Source organism: Homo sapiens, chromosome 3, assembly GCF_000001405.40.
Source record: "Homo sapiens chromosome 3, GRCh38.p14 Primary Assembly".
Lineage (NCBI taxonomy): Eukaryota > Metazoa > Chordata > Mammalia > Primates > Hominidae > Homo > Homo sapiens.
The window spans coordinates 181,734,774-181,757,751 of NC_000003.12; the positions used below are offsets into that span (position 1 = coordinate 181,734,774).

Genomic DNA, 22,978 nt, shown 5'->3' on the forward strand with positions numbered 1-22,978 from the left:
CCATTCAGTTTCTTCTGAGCTGAAGGATTTATCTACTGCAGAAACCCTGCTCATGTTGATGGGAATGATCTAAAGCTTCAAAGGACAGGTTTTAAGATTGTTGGGCATTAGTTTCAGATTTGGACTCAAATCCAAGCCTGAATTTCTTATTGGTTTGGGGAAGAAAACACTTAATTTGAAATTCTGATACGAACTGTATGGCAGCAAACTTAGTTGAGCTTAGAAACAGCTTTGAATCTCAGATACCAATACACTGGCTCTTGTATTACTTATTTATGGAAGAAAAAAAGGCAACACCTGGTCTCTAACCAGGAGAAAAGCCTATTTGAAGTATTTCAGTCATTCTCAGCAGGTCAGTCCTCAGCAGTTCTTAGAGACCACAATATTTAAAGCCGTCTGGGTAGTTCTGGTCTCATGTCATCCAAACAACACATTTTCAAACTCAGAAATGCCAGGTCGTGTTATTTCTGTGGCAGAGGGTTGCTTAGGATCTGTGACAGCTGAGATTTTCCTATCGATTATGTGACAATGTAGTTCATCTATAGAGTTCAGAGAAATTAGAAAAGCCTCCAGTTTAACAAGAAGACCCTTAATTCAATTGCTGTGTTGTATTTAAATGCAGAAATCAAAATTCAACTTACAGAAAATGGAATAGTGAATTAAATTTTGAACCCAAACTTCTGTAGCTAAATCAACCTCCTAGGAGGGCTGTGACTAATAATTTAATTTGAAGCATTACGATTGGGTAACTGGATTTGTAAACTAGGCAAGAAATCATATCTTATATAATAAATGCATATTTAGATCCATATATGTGTTTAAAATTGCTCCTAAATTTAAAGCACGGAGTGAGTCTAAAACAGGAAAGATAAATCAAAAAGCACTCTTGTGACTGTGTGTGTGCTGGAGAACAGACAGAGGCGGGTAATTATAGAAGCACTAACCTGCAAACACCTTGAAAGATGTCTTTCAGATGTGTCTTAAGTTCTTAAATGATAAAATATGCATGCATTTTTCAAATGCATTCACAGGTAAAAATATTATTTTTTATATCATCAATTCTTTATCTGTCACAGAATATGTACAGGTATACAGAAGTAACTAGATGTCCAATACATTCTAGGGGCCCAGGATTTCAATCAAAAGTAAACCTGGGTAATGTGACTGTAAATCAAGGGTGCTTGAGACCATAGACACACACACGCAGAAGGGTTAACTGGAGGAGAGGGAAGAGAGACGCTCCTCTGTGCAGTTTACGTGAGTGACAGGAAGAAGGGGAGCAAGAGCTAGAGCAGGCAAGCAGGCGCCCTGCAGTCCTCACACTGAACACATTCCCTTGTTGTGGAGGGACACAGTGGGAAAACTGCAGCCTAGGCTGTGGCCTGCACCTTGCCCACCCAGCCAGCAGCTCTTCTCGCATCTGCTTATTTCTTGCCTGAAAGTCATTCAGCATGTTGAAGGTGCGATTATCGACAATTTGTCAGTCTGAATTTGTTGCTGGCAATAACTTCTTTGTGAAGTTTCACTCTCAGGCACTTGAGTTTTGGGATTAGAAAACTGGTGATGGGAGAGCATTATCCTGTGGTCTGCTTTTCATTTAGACACAGCCCAGGCAGACAGAAGGAAACGGAGCATTAATCCAACTGCAGTCACCCCAAAGTACAGGCCATTTGGATCCAGAAGAGAAACTGGTTCCTTCTACAAGCTCTCCCGTTCTCCCTGGGGCCCTTCACAGCCTCCTTGTCTACGTTGTGGCTGTGCTTTCCCTGGTGAGCAATTATGTATAAGAAGTAGGGGATCCTCTGTATTCTGCCCAACCACCCCCTCATCCTTCACAAAAGTTAATGTCTTGGGCCTACAATTCACTTGGGCAGCCTGGAACTGAGACTCTGAAGTTGTAAGTCTTTTGTTTTGTTTTGTTTTGTTTACTTTTAGTTTTCTGTTTGTGGATGTGGGTCCTGAATCGGCGCCCTCAAAGTTGAAACCTTTACCTTTTTGTCCAACCTCTTCCCTTCCTCTCATCGGGGGTGGGGGAAGATGGTGGCCAAAAAGCAGGCCGTCCCTTGGATAGGGCAGCTGGGACAGCTGCTCCGGAGCAGCTGCTGTACCTCACCCTTATTTCCTGACAATCATTAAAATTCAATTTCAAAGTTTCTGTCTTTAACAATTTCCTAAGGGGCCTATGAAGGATGCCAAAAGGGTGGGCCTCCTTTCCAGTGGCAGTGCTTTGGCAGCAAGTAGACACTGGTCAGGTTGCCTGAGGCTGTGCCCTTCTCACAATAGTCCTGTGGAGAGTGTCTAGAATGGAACACTGCAGGAACAGCTCTGGGAAAGTTTTAAGGTGGGCCAAGAAGTGGACAAGACCAGCACCTCTTCCCTTAATCAGCATTGCTCCTGAAGTACAGCCTTCCTGGTCCTAGGGTGGAGCTCAAGTACAAACCTAGGGGAAATTTCTCATACTTTAATCTCATAATTCCTCATTTTCTTTTTTGCTCAGCTCACCAACTTCTCAAACCTTGATTCTAAAAAGAAAAATAGGCCAGGCGCAGTGGCTCACACCTGTAATCCCAGCACTTTGGGAGGCTGAGGTGGGTGGATCACTTGAGGTCAGGAGTTCAAGACCAGCCTGGCCAACATGGTGAAACCCCATCTCTACTAAAAATACAAAAATTAGCCGGGTGTGGTGGTGCATGCCTGTAGTCTGAGCTACTCAGGAGGTTGAGGCAGGAGACTCGCTTGAACTTGGGAGGCGGAGTTGCAGTGAGCGGAGATCGTGCCACTGCACTCCAGCCTGAGCTACAGAGTGAGACTCGGTCTAAACAAAAAGAAAAATAAAAAAAGATTTGTATATCTGAAATTTCCCTTCTATCAAGAAGCTTTCCTTAACACCTCTTTTCCCTTTGGTTGGGGAAGTCTTCTATTGGGCCAAGGCAAGACAACTAAGATATTTTGAGAAACGGAAAAATACATGTAAATGTACAGCCTAGGTAGCTGAGCCTCATCCACACATTTTGAGTGAAGGTTGCCCATCAAATGCTATTCAGACTCACCCTCAGAGGAGTTTCTCATTCCCTGCTCCCAAAATTTAACATGTGATTAGTACCAAAACATGCCACCCTTAACTAATACCCTCTTGAATCTATGGAAAGGAAACAGCATTTCTTTGAAATTCTAGATGGGAGTTAAGGACTACCTGACTACTCTTGCCTTCACCTCGTAATCACATATAACTATCTCAAACACCCCCCTCCTTCCCTAGAGAGCCACTGATTGGCCCCTCAGCATACCTAGTACTTTTCCTTCTCTTCTCAAATTCTCATCCCTTACCCTTTTCTCCTTTGGAGGCCCCTGGAAAATTTTCAGAATTAAATTATGATTTTTTTTGAAATGCCATGACAAGTTAGAAAGGGAAATTTGAGACAGCACTAGAAATACACTAACAGAGAGTACTATTACAAGGCCGGGTGCGGTGGCTCATGCCTGTAATCCCAGCACTTTGGGAGGCCGAGGCAGGTGGATCACCCGAGGACAAGAGTTTAAGACCAGCCTGGCCAACATGGAGAAACCTCGTCTCTACTACAAATACAAAAATTAGTTGGGCATGGTGGCACGCACCTGTAATCCTAGCTACTTGGGAGGCTGAGGGAGGAGAATCGCTTGAACCCAGGAAGCAGAGGCTGCAGTGAGCCAAGATCATGCCACTACACTCCAGCCTAGGCAACAGAGCTACACTCTGACTAAAAAAAAAAAAAAAAAAAAAGTACCATTACAACTGAATGCAGTAGACAAGTCACAGTTTGGGGTATCAGCAATTAATTGCACATTTTTATACAGTCTTTTTTTTTAACTTCATTTTTAAGATCCGTTGATCCTAACAGATGCAAGTTAAACCTGAAGTAAATTAGAGCAAAGTTAAAGAAAAACTAGATCAAGCCCTTCCTGGACTGGCAGCCCTCCTATCTCGCGTAGCTCATGGTTATTTGGATAGACTCTTTCATAATACTGGTAGCAGAGACAGACCAACACCAAAGCCCCACTTCTTGTTACTTAATCACAAACCTGGCAGAATGGCGACTCCATACCTACAAAAACTAGTCAGTGCTTATTAACCACAACAGATCAATAAAAACAATTATCTGGAGAAATAATATTAACAACACGCCCTTGTTACCATAAGACATAAGTTCCTGAGAAATTTGGAGCTTCCAATAGCACATTTCTGCTTATGTGGTACCTAAAGTTGTTTCCTGGAAGTGAAATTTGAATCATTTGCAATCATTTTATATCCTTGCCCCAGAATGACTCTGTCTCTAAGGCTTTGAATACGTTTACTACTATGGGCTTTTAATATTCTCTACCCTAGTGAAAAGGCTACATATTATAGTAGAGAAGATACTGGGTTAGAAATGCCAACCAGAATCTAGGTTCTAGTTCAGGCGTCTAACTAGTATTTTGTATGTAAGGCAGTTCATGCTTCTGGCCTTCAGATTTTGCATATGTAAAGTAAAAACATGAGAATAGATAATCTCTTAGATCCTTCATTCTGTACTTTTGTAACATTTGTGAATTTTGAACCTAAGAGAAGATCCAGATCCATACATTTCTGAATAAAATACCTATTTATTTCATAGTCCTTTTAGTAAAAATTTATGCAAAAGACTGAAAAAATGATTTTTGGTCTTCTCTGGGAGAGATTCTGAACTGGACTGGAGGAAACCAAGCTAAGAGACTTGGCATTGTTTTCTTTTGTACAAATGAACCATTGCCTTATACTTTAACTTTTTTTCCTTTTCAGATCCAACTTAGAAATAATGTTTCATTCAAGATAAGGCTCGTGGCTTAGGAGATTGTGACCTGGCTTGCATCATTCTAAGACTTCTATCGTCTGTTTTCAAAACCCAAGGAGGACCTCCTTTTCTGTGTGATAGTTCCTCATGCTTTGCCAGCCACTGGGTCTTTAAGGAAGCTTGCCAAGAGTTCCCGGCTGGGAAGGACAGTTCGAGTTCATCATAGACAATGAGCTGGCACCACAGTTTAAGTGACTCACCAACCTGGTTGCCCACTTCAAAATGTCAAGAACCACACTATCTAATTGAAAGAACTGTGTTTTAGCAAAGTGTAATTGGATCGCCTGGCAAGATCATCTCAAACTATGTCTCTGACCTTGCCTTTCAGTGGCTATTTTGAGCACAAGAGGAGAAAGGAAATGATTCCTGAATTATATCTTGTTTTTAAAAATTAAGATTAATTAATACTTGGTTTTATGTTCATTCCATTGTAGGAACTTAGTGATTATTACAAAACAGTCAAAATAGGTCATAGCAAAATGAACGTTTAAGATTAGGTTAAAACATTCCTCTGAAATTTTAGTATTCACTTTTGAAGTGTCAATTACTATATTTCTGTAATTTCTCATTTTTTTCTTGGCTTAGAGTCAAGATGAAAAATGATATTTGAATCAAAGACATTGTTTTGTTATATAGCCACTCCTTTCTAAAATGCAAATCCACCCTCCCCTCACCAATGCTTTATTCTTTGTGCGCGCACACACACACACACACACACACACACACACACACACACACAGACATACACAGAACCAGCACCCAAATGGTAGAGGAGGTCCTTCCAAGACTTCTAGGACCTGGATCATGTAAGCAGTAGATGAGAAAATGAAGTAAGAGATATAGAGTAATAACAATAAAAGTCAATGATTTCATTTTACAAAAAAGTCATTGTGTAGTACTCAGATATTTTTAAGAGCAAGTATTATTATGACTAAAGTATATTATACTTCTAAATTATTATGATTCTCATCTAATTTCAAGCCACACATAGGCGCCATTTGAAAGCATTTTGTGTTACAACCTATCAACAAAAATCAACTAATAGTTTTATAACGTGCATAGGTTTACCCCATGGGGAATTAAAATTTTTATCTGCAAGTATTTCTGTTGTTGTGAGACTTTAGGACAAGACAACATTTGGTGTTAACATAGAAGAATATTCTATGGCTTTTTTAGCTTTAAAGTTCATTACTCTAAAATAAAGTACACGTGGTATTTTTTTCTTCCTAGTGTTCTCTTATTATATGTAGAGTATTTTCGGTTGTTGTTTTTAACGTATACATTATTTTTATTAAGTCATTTCATAAAAGATAAGATATATACTAATAGACCCTTGGTTTTCTCCTAATTTAATTATTTCAAGTCAAGCAAAATTGGGCAATTTTCTTTCAGGAAAAAAAAAATATTGAGCATGATTTTGAGGTAAAACTGATTATTTACAGCATCTTTTCTCTAATAGGCTAACATTTATGATGGATCTTATTTCAAAGTTGATTATTCTCAAAGAAAAGTGGAGATATTAGAATTTCCGAGTAAATTGCATTGTTTTAAAAAGTACTTTAATGCATTGTTCACATTGTTGCCAGCTATTGACCAAAAAAGAGAAGAAGAAAAAAGAAATAAAAAAAGCAGTATCTGCTCCAAACGTCAAGTTTTGCAGTTTGAAAGACTTGTACATTATAATTGTTTTTTTCTTTTTTGGAAAGCAGTAGTAATTAATACCAAAGGCATAGACAATTTAGGGCCATAACCTCCCTTCCCCCCTCTCCACCTTTTTTTTTTTTTTTTTTTTTTTTTAACTTTAACCATGATAGGCATCTCTGCAAGGTAGGTTTTAACATATTTTTTTCCTAATTTTTTTCCCTCCATTCAGTAAGAAGGATAAGCTTTTAGAGTACCCAGTCACCGTGGTAACTGCCAAAAAAATTCTCCTGAAGTTTGAAGAGGTCAGCTAGCAGGGTCAACAACCCTGGCCTCTCTCTGAGCTCGGTCTAGCATGCCCCAGCCTGCGGTTGGAGTGTCAGGCCAGATCTGACCCTGGGAGGTGGACCATTCTGGCTCTGATATAAATTTTTCGAGTCAGTTCATGGCCTGGACTCTCCAGGTGGCCTCCAAAATCGATTTTGACCCCCTGACCCTGTCTCACGGAGGCATAGCATCCACCCTAAGTAAGGATTTAGCCAGGAATGACAGCTTTCCACTGAGTGTTATTGGGGACAGTATAAACAGTTTGGAAAGCAAGTAAGGAGGTGTGAGGGCTAGCAATCATTAAAAGCACATTAAAAAACAATTTTTAAAAATCTTTATTAGAGAAAGTTGTAAATGCATATCTGTTACAGAATTCCTGTGATTTGTAGAGTTTTCTAGTCAGTTTTGAATATAAATAGGTCACATATCTTTATCTTTTTGCATACTTTGTTACAAATATGCAAATAAGATAGGCATACTTGCTACAAAATAGGTACAGCAGGAATGTAATATGTTCAGAAAAGGCAAACTGGTTATTAAAACACATTAACAGGTAAGGAGTTTCTAATATTTTAAATACTAAAATTTTACATGTGTATTTTGAAGTTTTTAAAATGGAAAAATAAAGAACCTTTAAAAAACCCAACAGTGTGGAATAAAGATAAACTTGTTGCACTCAAGGTACATTTCTACTTTGTAAAGCAAGAAGCCAATACACTCAGTTGGATAAAAATGAGAGAAAAATTGTAAATATAGAGAGTTACAGCTTATAGAGCTGAAGAGGAATAAAACAAAAAAAAGTGTCTCTGAATAACTTTATGTATTTTCAACAGTTTAAGATATCAGAAACTTGGAAAATAAATATGATATATATATAAATCATCAGTGATTATTTCCTTTTCATTCCCCCCCGCCCCCAGGATGCCACCGTGAGTGTTTGATTTTCTCTAGGAAAGTAGAATTCTCTTTGAGAGTTCTAGCCTGTGAACTCAGTATGTAAATGTGGCCATCAAGAAGACAGAACTGCCAAGAGGAAAGATTATGAATGTTTTTCTTCCTTAAAACCATTCACAGTGTTTCTTCTTCCAGTGCTTTACTCAGACTTCTCCCCTTTTCCCAGCTCTGTTGAAAATGGCTTCAAAAGCAACACTGCAGTGGCTAAACCAATTGTACTGTGAAGTTGTTGAGATGCCATTTCATCTGAATCCTTCGTAAAAATTAGATTTTTAAGTAGGGGTGAATATCCTTTTGGGAGAGGGAATGGGAGGGTAGAAGAAGGGGGGAAAGGACAGAGCAGTTTATATATATATATATATATATATATATATATATATATATATATATGAGTATATATATATGAGTATATATATATATGAGTATATATATATGAGTATATATATATGAGTATATATATATGAGTATATATATATGAGTATATATATATATGAGTATATATATATGAGTATATATATATATGAGTATATATATATGAGTATATATATATATGAGTATATATATATATACTCTTTGTGTTTGAAGGCCTCTGTGTCTTGGCTTCTCACTATGTTAAATCCCTATTATAAAACTTATCTTCACAAAGCCTATTATAGTATTCTGAGAACAAATTGGACCATGAATAACTTAGTTGGAAGTGTAGATTATTTTCTACTCAGGGGAAGTTAGAGATGACAACAGCTTAACTGAAAGAATAGTGATTAATCTTAAATAGATGGATTTCAAAGTTTCACTCTTGATAAAGAGTACCTTTGATATTTCCCCTCTTCAGAATCACGTTTCCACTCTCTTTGTATTAAGAATTGTCCTAGTGATTACACTCTCCCCCTAATACAGCTCAAAGTGTAGATCATTTTTTTTCCAGGTTGTTAATTTGTCAGAGAGGTGACCAGAAAGACACTCTACTTCCTGTTGGTTAAATCGATGATTCCTAAGTGGTACTAGGCTTAGATACAAAAGTCAATGATAAGAATATCTTGCATAAATCATAGCTTCTTACTTAGATAAAATTCTTATTTAAAAATTTTTAATTTGCTTAATGCCCTATAGCTTACAAAGCACTTTTTAAATCATAATTTTGTTTAATCCTTAGAATAATGTTATAAGATAAACAAAACTCATCAATCCCATTTTACCTGTGATTGCACACTGTGATTGAGCTAATAAATGGAAGAATTGAGATACCAACTCAGATTTTGTAGCTTCTGTTTCAAGTGATTAACCTGTAGCAACAGGCTTTTGAATTATTTTTGTGTTCTATATCCCTGAAGATAAAGATTCTGTATTAAAGAGCCAAGATTTTATATCTCACAAATTAAAAACTTAAAAGACATGACTGAAAAGAATTCTGTTTACTTTAAAGTGAATTTTACCAGTTATTATTTTTCTTTCTATATATATGCTTAAATGGTCTTTCAGAACTGACGGTTTTAATTTCCAAAAGTTAAACATGGGAAGCTCTATATAAATTAAATAACTATCTGGAATTTAAACCACGTATATAAGAAACTTAGATTCTATATTTCAAAGTAAAATATAGCATAAGACTTTAGAAGCAGGTTCTACATATTAAGTAATTATTTGAGAATATGCCATTGATAAAGCTCTTGAGTGTTAGAGGCGAGATTTCCCTTCAATTTTAAAAAACTTTTAAAATCTTTTAACATCTTAGCAAGTCTGGATAAACAAAGTCAAAGTCATATAGAACTACTTTTGTTCTCTTAGGCTTTTACTTTTTGTGTTTAATAAAAAGGTTTGCAAAATACTCTAGGAAAAATAATAAAAGGATTATTAACTTGACATTAATGTAAACCATCTAAACATTACAGAAATCAAGAAATACAAATAGATGACATTATTTTATTCTTAGGTTTTTAATTATATTGCTTTAAACATGTAATGTGGGCAGTGTAGATGTTAATATGGAAATTCTTATTTTTTATTTCTTAAATTATATAAAATTAAATTAGTCATTTTATATATACTTAAATTAATGCTTTTGCCCTTGAAATATTCTAGCAGCCAGAAAAATCTAGTTAAGCTTGTTAGCATTAGACAAAATGAAAAAGTGTAGAGAAAAAGAAAAGCGACTGTTCTGGTATCAATAATGACATATGATAACCTTTTTTTGTACTGAAGTTTTTCTACAAAAACATGACATTAGACTGAGGATTTTTCATTCTGATGTGCAGGTTAATGTTCAAGTCTCCAAATACAAACTTCTAGTGTCTCCTCCACTTGTATGCAAATTAGGAAATGCAAAAATAAGGTCTCTTAAATTGACAGCTATGTTTGTTTAGATATTCTTCAAAATTTTATAATTTCTTATATTACCAATCTCACTCATTTTGGTCATGTGTGTCTTTAACAGCTGTTCAAAACAGGTTTTCTTCCCTTCCTCCTTCCTTCCTTCTGCCCTTCGTTCCCTTCCTTCTCTCTCTTCCCCTTCTCTTTTTCCTGCTTTCTTTCTTGTCCCTCTTCCCTATCCTTCCTTTTTTTCTTTCTCCTCTCTTTTCATCCCTTCTTCTTTCCTACGTTACTCATTAGTTTTTAGGTGTTTTTGTTTTAAAATGCAGGGCAGCTTGGGTTAAGGGGTTATCTAATGCAATATATTTTGCCAAACTGAGGTGCTGAACAATGAAACATTTCAGTTTAAACTTGCATCAAGTCAGAAAACCCTCAAGTATGGTATCAAGACTTTTCTGACAATGAAAATCCAATACTGAATGATCAACTTTTAAAATGTTACAGATTCTGGCAGTTTCTCTCTTGCTATCTTTGTAGTCTTTCTAAGTCATCTAAACTATTGGTTAGTTATGTTAGCTTCTTGTGTTGCAAAGAAAAAGAGCATTTTTAGAAATCTGACAAGAAATTTTGTCAAATTGCTACACATAATTTGTATATAAGTACATAAAAGCACAATACTAGCTAGCATTGAAAAATTTGAATAAAGATCAGAGATTTCTCACTTTTTTCCCACCCCTGTCCAATATACTGTGGTATTAAATATTTAATATATGTTCATTTTTTCTCTTCCTTTCCCCAACCCCCACAAAGCTGTTATCAATCTGGACAGATGAATAAATTTTGGCAAAATAAGATTTGTTTAGAATGGTAAGAATTCTTCCTAATAAAGTTTTTAAGCAAGTCAATAAGGCATAAAAATGTTCTGTATTCTTCTAAAAGTAAAAGTTTGTATCCATGTCTATTTAGAAAATCATAATGCAGGGTCAGGCGTGGTGGCTCACGCCTGTAATCCCAGCACTTTGAAAGGCCGAGGTGGGCAGATCACCTGAGGTCAGGAGTTCGAGACCAGCCTGACCAACATGGAGAAACTCCGTCTCTACTAAAAATACAAAAATTAGCCGGGCGTGGTGGCTCATGCCTGTAATCCCAGCTACTCGGGAGGCTGAGGCAGGAGAATCACTTGTACCCGGGAGGTGGAGGTTGTGGTGAGTCAAGATGGCACCATTGCACTCCAGCCTGGGCAACAAGAGCGAAACTCCATCTCAAAAAAAAAAAAAAAGAAAAGAAAAGAAAAAAAGAAAATCACAATGGATAGTAAAACATTTGGTCAACTACTTGGGTATTGGTTTTTATTATACCAGATTTTTCTCTGTCTTTTGATATTGTGACTATAGTATATCTGAGTGCTGACAAATACAATTTGTGGTTATAGGACTTAATTTACCAGCAAAACCTAGAGCTGTTCTGTTTCTGGTGAGTATTGTCAGGTGTCTGCCATTCATAGAATAAGCATAATTGACAGCCCTCTATAATAGGCATGATGCATTTCTCTAAGTTGTTCACAGATGAATAAAACCAACTGCCTGCCATCATGGAATGATGTGTTAGGTTCTGGGAGGAAGTGTGGATGGGAATTTTAAAATCAAAACAAAACAGAAAAAAAAAAGCTCAAGATTTGGTACCAGCTCTCCAAGAAAGAGAAATTGGCATGTGTACAAGTTTCTCTTCAGAATGAGCTATGGTAAAGGTGTGAACAAGCAGCCGTAAAAATACGGAGAGGTCTATAGAGAGTTGGAGAAAGTGGGGCTTGAAGAATGGGTAGGGCTGTGATAGACAGTTATGGGACCTTATTCCAGGTGGAAGGGAAAGGCAGAAATGTGAGATTATGCAGAATATTTCTTAGAAAATTATTTAATGAGGCTGGGCGTGGTGGCTCACACCTGTAATCCCAGCACTTTGGGAGGCCAAGGTGGATTACCTGAGGTCAGGAGTTCGAGACCAGCCTGGCCAATATGGTGAAACCCCATCTCTACTAAAAATACAAAAATTAGCTGGGTGTGGTGGCACACACCTGTAGTCCCAGCTACTCGGGAGGCTGAGGCATGAGAATGGTGTGAACCTGGGAGGCGGAGCTTGCAGTGAGTCAAGATGGCGCCACTGCACTCCAGCCTGGGCGACAGAGTGAGATTCTGTCTCAAAAACAAAAAAAGAGAATTATTTAATGGATTTAAAATAAAGTTTCTAGGGCAATATAAGATGGGTCTGAATATTATCTACTTTAATAGGTTATCCTATAGCTTTATTCACTAAGGAAATACTATCATCATAAGTGCCATGAAAACATTTTACTACTGATAAAAACATTTAAAGAGTTAAAATTCAGTGAAGAGAAGCAAGTTTTAGAAATCTAGTATTTTGTTCCTAGATCTGGCTGCCTCTGTGTGCCTCCATATCCTCTTCTGGATATATATTCTCTTATTTGTGAAATAACATTTGCAGTATGTTTAACATTTTAAACATATTAAAATGAAGACTCTTATGAAAAAGCAATCACTCTTTTTCAAAGATATTGCATGAGTCACTTCTTATGTGCCATATGTTGCCAGAGCCCCCTTAAAGAGTTACAAATAAGCACTGCATCTTAAACATGTACTTCCCTACTTCCCCCCTTACAGGCCAAGGATATGGAAATAAATCTTCAGTCTAAGTGAAGAAAAAAAAATTTTAACTCTGCCTTTCCTTCAGAAGCCCTACATTAATACTTATGCAAGTGAATGAAAAGTTTAGAAATACATTTAAATATGTTTAAAGCCCACAGAGATATCTTGCGATCAGGAAGTATCAGCCAATTATACAAAGAACCTCAGAATCTTTGATAAAAAGATAGTAAAAGGCAAAGAAGCAGAGAAGCAGGAAATAAAGACACACTAAATACATTCTAGCAACATCAGAGTCATCCTGTAATAATCAAAATAGTAAACTAATACAAAAGTTTCTGGTGATGTAAAAGCACAAGACCCCAGAACAAGGATGATTGTTACAAATGCCACTCTTCTTAATATGAAATCTTAAATCAAGTGGAAACTAAATCCTAGGCCTAAAGCTTGGAAATCCAGGCCTAAGTAATATTTTATAGGGAAAATCAGTTGAAATACATTGAACATCAAATTAGAATAAAATTTGAGGCAAATGATGGGGATGAACCCAAAGGTTTGGGAGAGTAAAATAAACACTTATTTTTATTTGATTTTATTTTTTTGAGATGAGGTCTCACTCTGCCACTCAGGCTGACGTGTAGTGGCATGATCACAGCTCACTGCAGCCTCATACTCCAGGGCTCAAAAGATCCTCCACATCAGCCTCCTGAGTAGCTGGGACTGCAGACGTGTGCCACCATGCAAAGCTTTTTTTTTTTTTTTTTTTTTTTTTTAATAGAGATGGAGTCTCACTCTGTCACCTAGGCTGGTCTTGAACTTTCAGGCTCAAGCAATCCTCCCACCTCAGCCTCCCAAAGTGCTGGGATTACAGGTATAAGCCACTGTGCCCATCTAGAAACACTTGTTTTTATCTGTGGCTGGTTAATCAAGTTGGGAAAAGCACTGGCTAGTTGTTTGGAATCGTATATTCAATTTCAATTTAACTTTGCTCTGCTATGTATCCTCAAACTATAGCTCTGCCCTAACAGAAGTCTTTTACTTATAGGCTTCTTTCAGGCGGTAAACAAAACTTTTGAGCACTCATATGGGGTGGGTTCTGTTGAAAGAAATAGGTGTTGCAATTAAAAGAAAAAGGTGTCAAAGGTGTCATACCTCTTGCCGTCAAAGATACAACAATATGCATCCAATAAGACTCTACCTGGCCGGGCGCGGCGGCTCACGCCTGTAATCCCAGCACTTTGGGAGGCTGAGGCGGGCAGATCACGAGGTCAGGAGATCGAGACCATCCTGGCTAACACAGTGAAACCCTGTCTCTACTAAAAAACACAAAAAATTAGCTGGGCGTGGTGGCGGGCACCCGTAGTTCCAGCTACTTCGGAGGCTGAGGCAGGAGAATGGCGTGAACCCAGGAGGCGGAGCTTGCAGTGAGCAGAGATCGCGCCACCGCACTCCAGCCTGGGCGACAGAGCAAGACTCCGTCTCAACAACAACAACAACAAAAGACTCTACGCAAAAGAAGTTATTGACATTGCCTTCGGTACCCACTTAAGGACCACTTGTTTCTAAAGCTTTTTCTTTATAATTACTACAGCTGTATATCAGATATCTGCAGTACCATAACTCTAAACTTAACTAAAGCACTTCGAACAATACAAAAGTGTATACGAACAGAAGTGAAAATGATATGTAGAATCAAAAGTGAAAGTGCCCTTCCCAGAAGTGTATATCCTTCCAGATTTCAGATAGAAAGATGAATATTATGAAAGGAAAGATAGAAAGATGATAGACAGATAGTAGTTAAGAGCACAGACTTTTAATCTAGACTGTCAAGGTTTGCGTCCCAGCTCTACCATTAATACTTCTACATGTATGACCTCAGTTTTCTCATCTATAAAAGTGAGAATGACAACAGCACACAGGACATATCCCTAATCCGAAACTCCAAAATCCTAAATACTCCAAAATTTGAAACTTTTTGAGCACCCACGTGACACCACAAGTGAAACGTTTCATACCTGATCTTGTGATGTGTCACAGTCAAAACTTTGTTTCATGCACAAAATTATTTAAAATATTGTAAAAAGTTACCTTCAGCCTACGTGTATAAGTAAATAAATTTCATGTTTCAGACATGGGCCCCATCCACAAGATATCTCATTATGTATATGCAAATATTTCAAAATCCGAAAAGGTCTTAAAGTCAGAACACTTCCGCTCTCAGGCATTTCAGGTAAGCTATCCTCAACCTATAGTATCTCATTAGGTTATTGTAAAGATTAGCTAAGTTTATATGTGAGCTACTTAGAGCAGTGCTTGTCACACAGTAAGCATTTTATAGGGGTTAATGACTTTTTTTTTTGAGACAGAGCTTCGGTCTTGTTGCCCACGCTGGAGTGCAATGGCGGGATCTCAGCTCACTGCAATGCCTCCCAGTTTCAAGCAATTCTCCTTTCTCAGCCTCCCGAGTAGCTGGGATTACAGGCATGCGCCACCAAGCCCAGCTAATTTTGTATTTTTGGTAGAGACGGGGTTTCTCCATGTTGGTCAGGCTGGTCTTGAACTCCTGGCCTCAGGTGATCCACCCACCTCAGCCTCCCAAAGTGCTGGTATTACAGGCGTGAGACACCACGCCCAGCCAACTACTCTTATTATTGTGAATATACATGTATACTCAGGGTTTTCTTTTAGGCAATGAGATTTTACTGTATGTATTTTATCATTTCACAATACGTCAGAGGGAATACATCAATAGATCGATTTTCGTTTTCGTAACTGCTATGTAACATCCCACAGTAGGGTTGAATGAGAATTTATTTAACCTTTCTCCTGTTGATGGTCATGTAGGTTGTTTCCAGGTGCTTCCACTTTAAAGCAATTGCTAATATCTTATTTTGTCTTGGAATATAAAATAAGGGATGCAGAAAGGGATATATTATATCCTATACATATCTTAAAAATGATCAAAATGAGGCTCACAGAGGTTTACTAAATTGCCTAAGGTCATATAGCCAGTAAGTAAGAGATTCTTATGTGCCATATGCTCCCAGACTCCCCTTAAAGAGTTACAAATAAGCACTGCATCTTAAACATGTATTTCCCCACTCCCCGCCTTACAGGCCAAGGATATGAAAATACATCTTCAGGCTAAGGGAAGAAAAAAAAAAATTTTAACTCCTAGAGATTTCAGAAGAGAACCAGTTTAACACAGTTCCATGCTGTCTCACCTCAAATTTTCCCATTTGATGTAGAATAGTTTCACAAATACTGTGGTCCTTATGTCACAACAAGACATTCTTCTGCTTTCTGAAATAAGCACCAGGCAACTACAAGTTAATGTGCTGCCAAAGCAGGCATGAGTGAAGAGATATAAAGGAACATAATAAAAGAAGGAATAAAGTAGTAAGCCTGGCAATGTCCTAAGTGCTAAAGATAATCATAAAATTAAGATACCATGCAACCACAGAAAAGAACGAGATCATGTCTTTTGCAGGAACATGGATGGAGCTGGAGGCCACTATCTTCAGCAAACTAACACAGGAACAGAAAACCAAACACTGCATGTTCTCACTTATAAGTGGGAGCTAAATGTTGAGAACTTACGAACACAAAGAAAGAAACAACAGACACTGGTGTCTACTTGATGGGGAGGGTGAGAGGAAGGAGAGAAGCAGAAAAGATACTGGGCTTACTTAATTCCTGGGTGATGAAATAATCCGTACAACAAACTCCCATGACATGAGTTTACCTATGTAACCTATGTAACAAACCTTCACATGGTCCCCCAAACCTAAAGTAAAAGTTTAAAAAAAAATTTAAAAATTAAATTAAGACACCAATTTTAAACGCTTAAATGGTTTGAAATCAGGATAAATAAAATGTTGTGCTCTAAGAACATATAGTCCATTTATAATATGATATGGTTTCAGCCAACTATACTCCTTTCTCTGGACAATGACTACTGTATAACTACTTCAAAATGCACAGGGCTCATTGTGAGAATACTCTTTTAATAATTTATATTTCTAATTCTAGCAGTATTTGGAATCCAAAAACAGAGGAAATCATTTTTCTTAAATCCCTTATTATTATTATTTTTTTATTGCTGGTCTTGCTACTCTACCATTATTGACTGGGAAAGTATAATGAAACGACTAGAAGGCTGAACTTCAGAAATTTGTTTTCTGCTAGATTATTCAATGACTTTAGGACTGAGGCAAATGACTTCTCCAAGTTAACCTTTCTTCTTGTATAAAACAGGATTGTGTGTTTGCTTTGTTGGGAAAAAAGGTGAATTTATTTTGTTGATGTTTATCTGAAAGTTTGAAAAAGCCTAGAAGATGCAAGTTGTTCTATTTTACTGCAATGAGAAAAATGCTAACGTTTAGAAATGTGAAGGACATATTATAACTTTAAAGCAGAGGACAGAAAAAAAAAAAAAAAAAAAAAAAAAGAACCACCATGGCTTTTTCTAGAGATATTCCTTAGATATCACTGCTTTTTTAATCAGTCTGTTGTTTACCTTCTGCTTCTGTTTCTGAATTATAATAATATGTCAGAAGCTTACAAAAATACTTATCAAAATCAGTTGCACACAATGCAACAATTTAACTCCTAATGTCAGCTACCTCTAACTATGAATGACATATAATAAATTATGTTTGAACTGGATTCTCAGCTGCAGATCCTTATTCTGCCACCCAGACAGCCCTATAAAGTTGCACTGTGGCCTTAATCCCACTTGGATATGTGCCCTACTGCCTCTACTTTCCATCATTCTGGTGCTTTAGTCTTCTTGAATAAGTGAACAATCTTTGTTTCTGTACCTTATTAGGCCAAAGACCATAACAGCTAGTGATGGCATCAGCAAGCCCTGCGGGCAGGATTCTCTGCAGACCCAGCCAACCTCCAACAAACCCCTTTTTATACTCCTGTTTCTAGGAAGAATTATGATGGCGGTGCCCTGCTGTTGATCAGTCAAATCTGTGGTAGGCCTAGAGATAAGTCCTGTAAGTGTGGTGTACTGTAAAACAGCGGCTCCCATTCATTAGTAGCTTGTGTGTAATAAACCACCAAAAAAGGGGGGGCGGGGTGGGGAGGCAGCTGCAGTGTGCAAGAACAAACAACGCATCTCATTCTTGGGAGCCAAAACTTTGTAATTTGCTACTGGGCAGCCTGCTCTCTCTAACATTCTTTCTGATAACATAGTAGTGTCCTATCTATATTCACAGTTTGACTGCTAACCCAAGAAATGCTATTTTGTAAGTATGTATATATAGTATAACAATGTTATTAAGGAAGAGGTGAAAAATACTATCAAACAACTGACCCTGACAACCAAAATTGCTGGGTTACAGGGGCACTTTCCTCTACCAACTAATCATCTTAAAAAATTATGTTAGTTATTGTTTAATAGTACTGGTCGTATGAGGATGATCCTTCAAAAGGTATCAGCTAAAATGCACACAGTGGGACTATTCCCTAGGAATGAATTATGTCTCTTTGGTAATATATTTTTCAGACATAAAAATAGTCATAGAATAGAAAGGTATTTGGGGGATGCTTGCCTTTTTAAAATTAAAAGATGTCTGTTAAAGTGGAAAATAAATTTTACTTTTTGGCTATTATCTAGGAAACACTACTTTGCAACAGTACTGCATATTGCTCATCTCCCTAAACCAAAATGTGGGAAGCAATTTAATTTTGAAAGGAAAACAATATACCTGTTGGGAAAGGGAGGGACAGGAAAAAAAAAAAGAAAGAAAAGAAAAAACACCTCTCAATAGGCCCTTTTAATTCAGGATGGTTTAACCTAATAAAAAGAAAACACACTTGAATTTGCCCACGACTGCTTAATGAGAAGCTGAAAAATGCTGCAGTTTCTGTAATAAACTCCTTCTTTTTACATCCAAAGCAGGTGCATGGCATTGTGATATCAACACTGTACTTGCTCCTCATCAGCCCCCCACTGCTCTCCCAATTGGAGTGGAATACTGTACATGCTAGGCATTTTTCCTTTACCACTCCGAACTCAGGGTCAGGAAAGTGGCTATGGCAGAGTGGAAGGCATGCCCGTTGTTTTGGAATTCTTGCAGGTGTTTCAAAAGCAGAGGATTCTTTTCAGAGCCACATCTGCATCTGTCATATGCCATTTGTGCTAAAGCCTGTGGTGTTTTTGTTTGTTGGTTTGACAGATTGACATGTAATGGCCAGGACTGTTGGGTGGCCGCTCCCAACAAAGTCATTCTCATAGCTGGAGTTCTCTAGAAATCAACTGGCCTGAATTACCCATGATTTTTCTCTGCCCTTCAAAAAGGAAAATGTGTTGTTCTAATGTTCTGATTTTTGTTTGCTTTCATGATTTTGGTGGGATTACATTGTTTTAAGCTCTAAGTTAAGATGAAATAAGAACTTTGATAGTATAACATATAAAAAAAGTTTTCAAAACCAGTCTTTACAATTTACTTAGAAATAAAGATATTTGTAGCATTTAAATAAATATTGGGGTATCAGAAAAATGTAAAAATGAAGAGAATACATCTATGTCAGTGATGAATAAAGGAACTTAATAGAATAGAGGCAAAAATTTCAACTTTTAAACTTTTGCCATTTTTAAAGACTAAAATAAAATTCTCATTTTATTCTGAAGTCTTTTTATTTCTTATCAGTTAATAGCATTTATGAATTTATATGTAAGCATGTCAATTATGAACCATGTTACTACAAAGCCAAGTAAATATGTGTGAAAGCAAACTTTAGTATGCTCTCTTTTGTTGATAAAGTTAAGTCAGAAATACTTATTAACATCCTCTGCACATAAGTAGCCACTCATGGATTAAAAGCTCAAAGCTCATGGTACAAAGTATTAACTTTATGTTGATGAAATTTTCTGAATTTTATTATACTGTAATTTCTACATTCAATATTGAAGTGATAAGGCCTTCACTCTGTCACCCTATCTGGAAAACACAAAATAACAAAGGAATATCAAGTGTTAAACAAATGCAAATGTCATACACATGTTTGTAATATCATTTTACATTTATTCCATTGACCTAAACATTTTCTGAGCAGACATATTCCCTTACCTACATAAAACCTCTTTGCTAGAAAGAACCTTTCTTTTTGATAAAGTATCTCAATTTGGGTGTCTTATTTGTCAGTATACAATCAGCTCCACAGGTCTCTCTTTTTAATAATGTTTTCTGTGGAGCTCTGCACTGGAGAAAGGAAAGGCAAAACAAAACAAAACTCATTTCAAGACCTGGTAGTAGTCAGATTCAGAACCGGCCAAATGAACCTACAGACAGCACGTGGCTGGAGTTTGGGTGAGAGATGATAAAACAACCAAAAGTCACTTTTTAAACTGTCACATGGAAAATGGCAGTTGTTTTTATCTCTTATATTGACAAATTATGTTCTGGATATGTAAAAAGTTTTAATGATATTAATTTCTTTTTTTTTTTTTTCACTTTCTGAAATAAGGATTCCTTTCCTGTTACCTCACTCAATAGGGACTTGGGCTAAAGAAGACAGGAATTAAATACACTCAGGTCTTTACTATTTATACTTAAGTTGCCAGATTTAACAAATAAAAAGCAAGATGTCCGGTTATGGAATTTCAGGTAAAGAGCAAACAATTTTTTTCATATAATAGTGCATGGGCCATATACTAAAAAGTACTTGTTTTTCATCTGAAATTCAAATTTAATTGAATGTCCTGTTCCTTTTCCGGCAAACCTATTTGTAGCAGCGTTTTAATAATAACACACTCATGATCAGGAGCCTTAAGGTTTGAAGGGCTTAAAATTTTAAATTAGGCTTTATTTTTCTGTGGTTCATATTTTAAGAATTTCTGTTGCCTATTTAGAGTAACGGGATTAGTGATGACAACTATTATGATTATATGCCCAAACACACCCAGGTGGTTTCCATTTATTATTTTCTCTAATCCTCACAGCTACCTGAGGAGGCAGGTGATGGGATCCCATTTTACAGAGAAGAAAACTGAGACCCAGAAACATTAAGCAATTTTAAAGCAATTTTTATTGCATTACATAACCAACAAGTGGAAGAACTAGAATTGGAAACCACCTCTGTCAGATTCCAGAGTTGAGGCTCTTTCCTCTTAGCTGTATGCATAGCCTGTTAAACATGAAAGTTCCTTAAAATCACAAATGTTTGTAATCAACTGATTAGAGTTCATATTAAACAACATAATAGCACTAGTCATCTTTTTATGTGCACCTGTCCTGTCTTTCTTGCTAGTCTTGAGGGTAGTGTCAGTGTCTCATATTTCTTAATACCTCCCTTTAGGCAAGCAATCACATTATTTTACAATGTCACTTTAAAACAATGCCACATTTTTTAAGATAATCAGAAGTTTGTCTTTTGACTGAAACAAGTATGTTTTCATTATCATTTAAAAATTAAAGCCTATTGAAAGACAGCATCTGACTCTATTTGCCCACTGTTTATATAGTCTGTGTTGTTGCACTTCCAAAGTTTTGCTTGCTTTATAAACCACTCAGAAACCTCAAACATCAGTGTTTCCCTTGCCGAAATACCAAAATAGAAACAATTACTGCTCAATGCCTTACCCTTCCTTGCGTTAGATAGGTCACAGCCACAGAGTATTGAATTGTAGGCTCTTGTCTCCCTGGAAATACAGTACTTCAACCCTAGTTTACCTTTGCCTGCGGAGCCCTGTATGATGTAAATGTTATTATGCAATGATGGCCCTCCCCCAACTCCTTTCCATAGTTCTTTGATATTACTTAGAAGGTGATTACATAGCTTCATTTATTTCTTTGAATGCATAGGTTTCATGGTCATTAAAATAATCACAGACTCATCAGTTCTCCCCATGCTTAAATAAGATCAATACGAACCAGAACAAGAGGCTTCCTTACTTCTCTATTCACCAAGATTTCTCTCTTCCTTCTCTCTTTCACTCTCCCTCTCCCCCTGCTTCTCTAATCCCTTCCCTCATTTCCACCCTCAAACCCCACGTAAAGAAGAATACAATAATTTTTTAAATACCGTAGTTCTTTCTGTAGTGAATCATAACATTTATTCAGCTGTTATCCAAGACACAGTGAAGTGTTGCCTTATATATACTGTCAGAGGCAGCTGTAGCAATTTTGGAGTTTGCTAGAGGAAAAAAACCTGCTGGTCCTGCCTTACAAGCCAGTTCAGCAATGAAATGGTTAATAGGATGAGTAAAGGCTATTTTTAAGTCTGGCTCCCCTCTCTGATACACTCTTGAAAATTCACCCTGTACTGCAGAAATCCTAAATTGCAGTGCCCTGCACCCCACTGAAACTCTTCAGTCTGCTGTAAGTAAGCCTCAGCATGGGCAAGATTGGGGGTGAACAGCTGGAGGAGGGGCTCAAGCCCTGGGCCTTTGTAATGGAGGGGCGAAACACTGAGATCCTGCAGAGAAGGAACACAGAAACCCTCAAGGCACAGAGAAATAGACCCAGACAAAAGCCCCGTTACATGGTTGCAAATCACCCCACTGCTGTTATTTTATTTACTGTGGTCTGCAGGAGGATTGTTTTCTCTTTGCAAAATTTTTAAGCTTCATGGGCTTTTCTCCTCCACAACAGCGGTCACTTATACCACAGTGCCACATAGAGACAGTCTTCACCTTCAGCTTTCTTAAGGAAAGGGGGAAAAATTCTTGCCTAGTCAGGTTGCAATAGACATAGAATGAAATAGATGAATTTCCAGTCTTACAGTTATTTCCCAGGGATACAAGATTGAAATATGGCTTCTATTAGTGGTTTTGTTTTACATTTTTGTCTTGGTTTTGTTTTAGTTTTATATGATTATTTTTCTTAAAGATGACACCTACATTCATTCCTTTGAACTTAAATTTATTTAGGTGTGGGAAGGAAAGAAAAGGCAACGTAACTTGTGTTTGAACCAACTATACACACACACACACATATGCATAAACATTTTTCCCCAGTAAAATAATTCTTTTCAAAATTGATAGAAATATCATCTTATTACTGTGACAAATCATATGCTATGACTTTGAGATTTTCCTTTGGGAAGTTAGGATAGAAGGATGGCTAACAGAAATATTTATTTTAAAATCTGAAGGGACAGAAATATCTGTAAGTGTAAGTTCTTTTTTGTATAAGTTTCTTAGGGTATTTGTAAAAATACGTTCCTGCCTCACTGGGGAAAGAGGAAAAGATAGAGAGAGAGAGAAAGAGACCTGGAGGAAGAAAAAGC

General features: G+C 37.1%; 1 long non-coding RNA gene across 6 annotated transcripts in view, besides 2 other annotated features; it reads left to right on the plus strand.

Moving 5' to 3' along the window:
* The window catches only part of SOX2-OT (SOX2 overlapping transcript), a 685,549-nt gene extending 678,094 nt beyond the window's left edge, over window positions 1-7,455 (plus strand). For all 6 annotated transcript variants that reach the window (NR_075091.1, NR_075092.1, NR_075093.1 and 3 more), the window contains one exon: window positions 4,796-7,455. This is a non-coding gene — a long non-coding RNA (SOX2 overlapping transcript). The remainder of the gene's footprint in view (window positions 1-4,795) is intronic.
* Window positions 21,016-21,707: an enhancer, noted in NCBI's record as "OCT4-NANOG-H3K4me1 hESC enhancer chr3:181473577-181474268 (GRCh37/hg19 assembly coordinates)". NCBI's record gives its function as "activates a minimal SCP1, AML or CMV promoter by ChIP-STARR-seq in naive H9 embryonic stem cells {active_cell/tissue: H9 hESC(naive)}" and the evidence as "EXISTENCE:reporter gene assay evidence [ECO:0000049][PMID:30033119]".
* Window positions 21,836-22,488: an enhancer, noted in NCBI's record as "OCT4-NANOG hESC enhancer chr3:181474397-181475049 (GRCh37/hg19 assembly coordinates)". NCBI's record gives its function as "activates a minimal SCP1, AML or CMV promoter by ChIP-STARR-seq in naive H9 embryonic stem cells {active_cell/tissue: H9 hESC(naive)}" and the evidence as "EXISTENCE:reporter gene assay evidence [ECO:0000049][PMID:30033119]".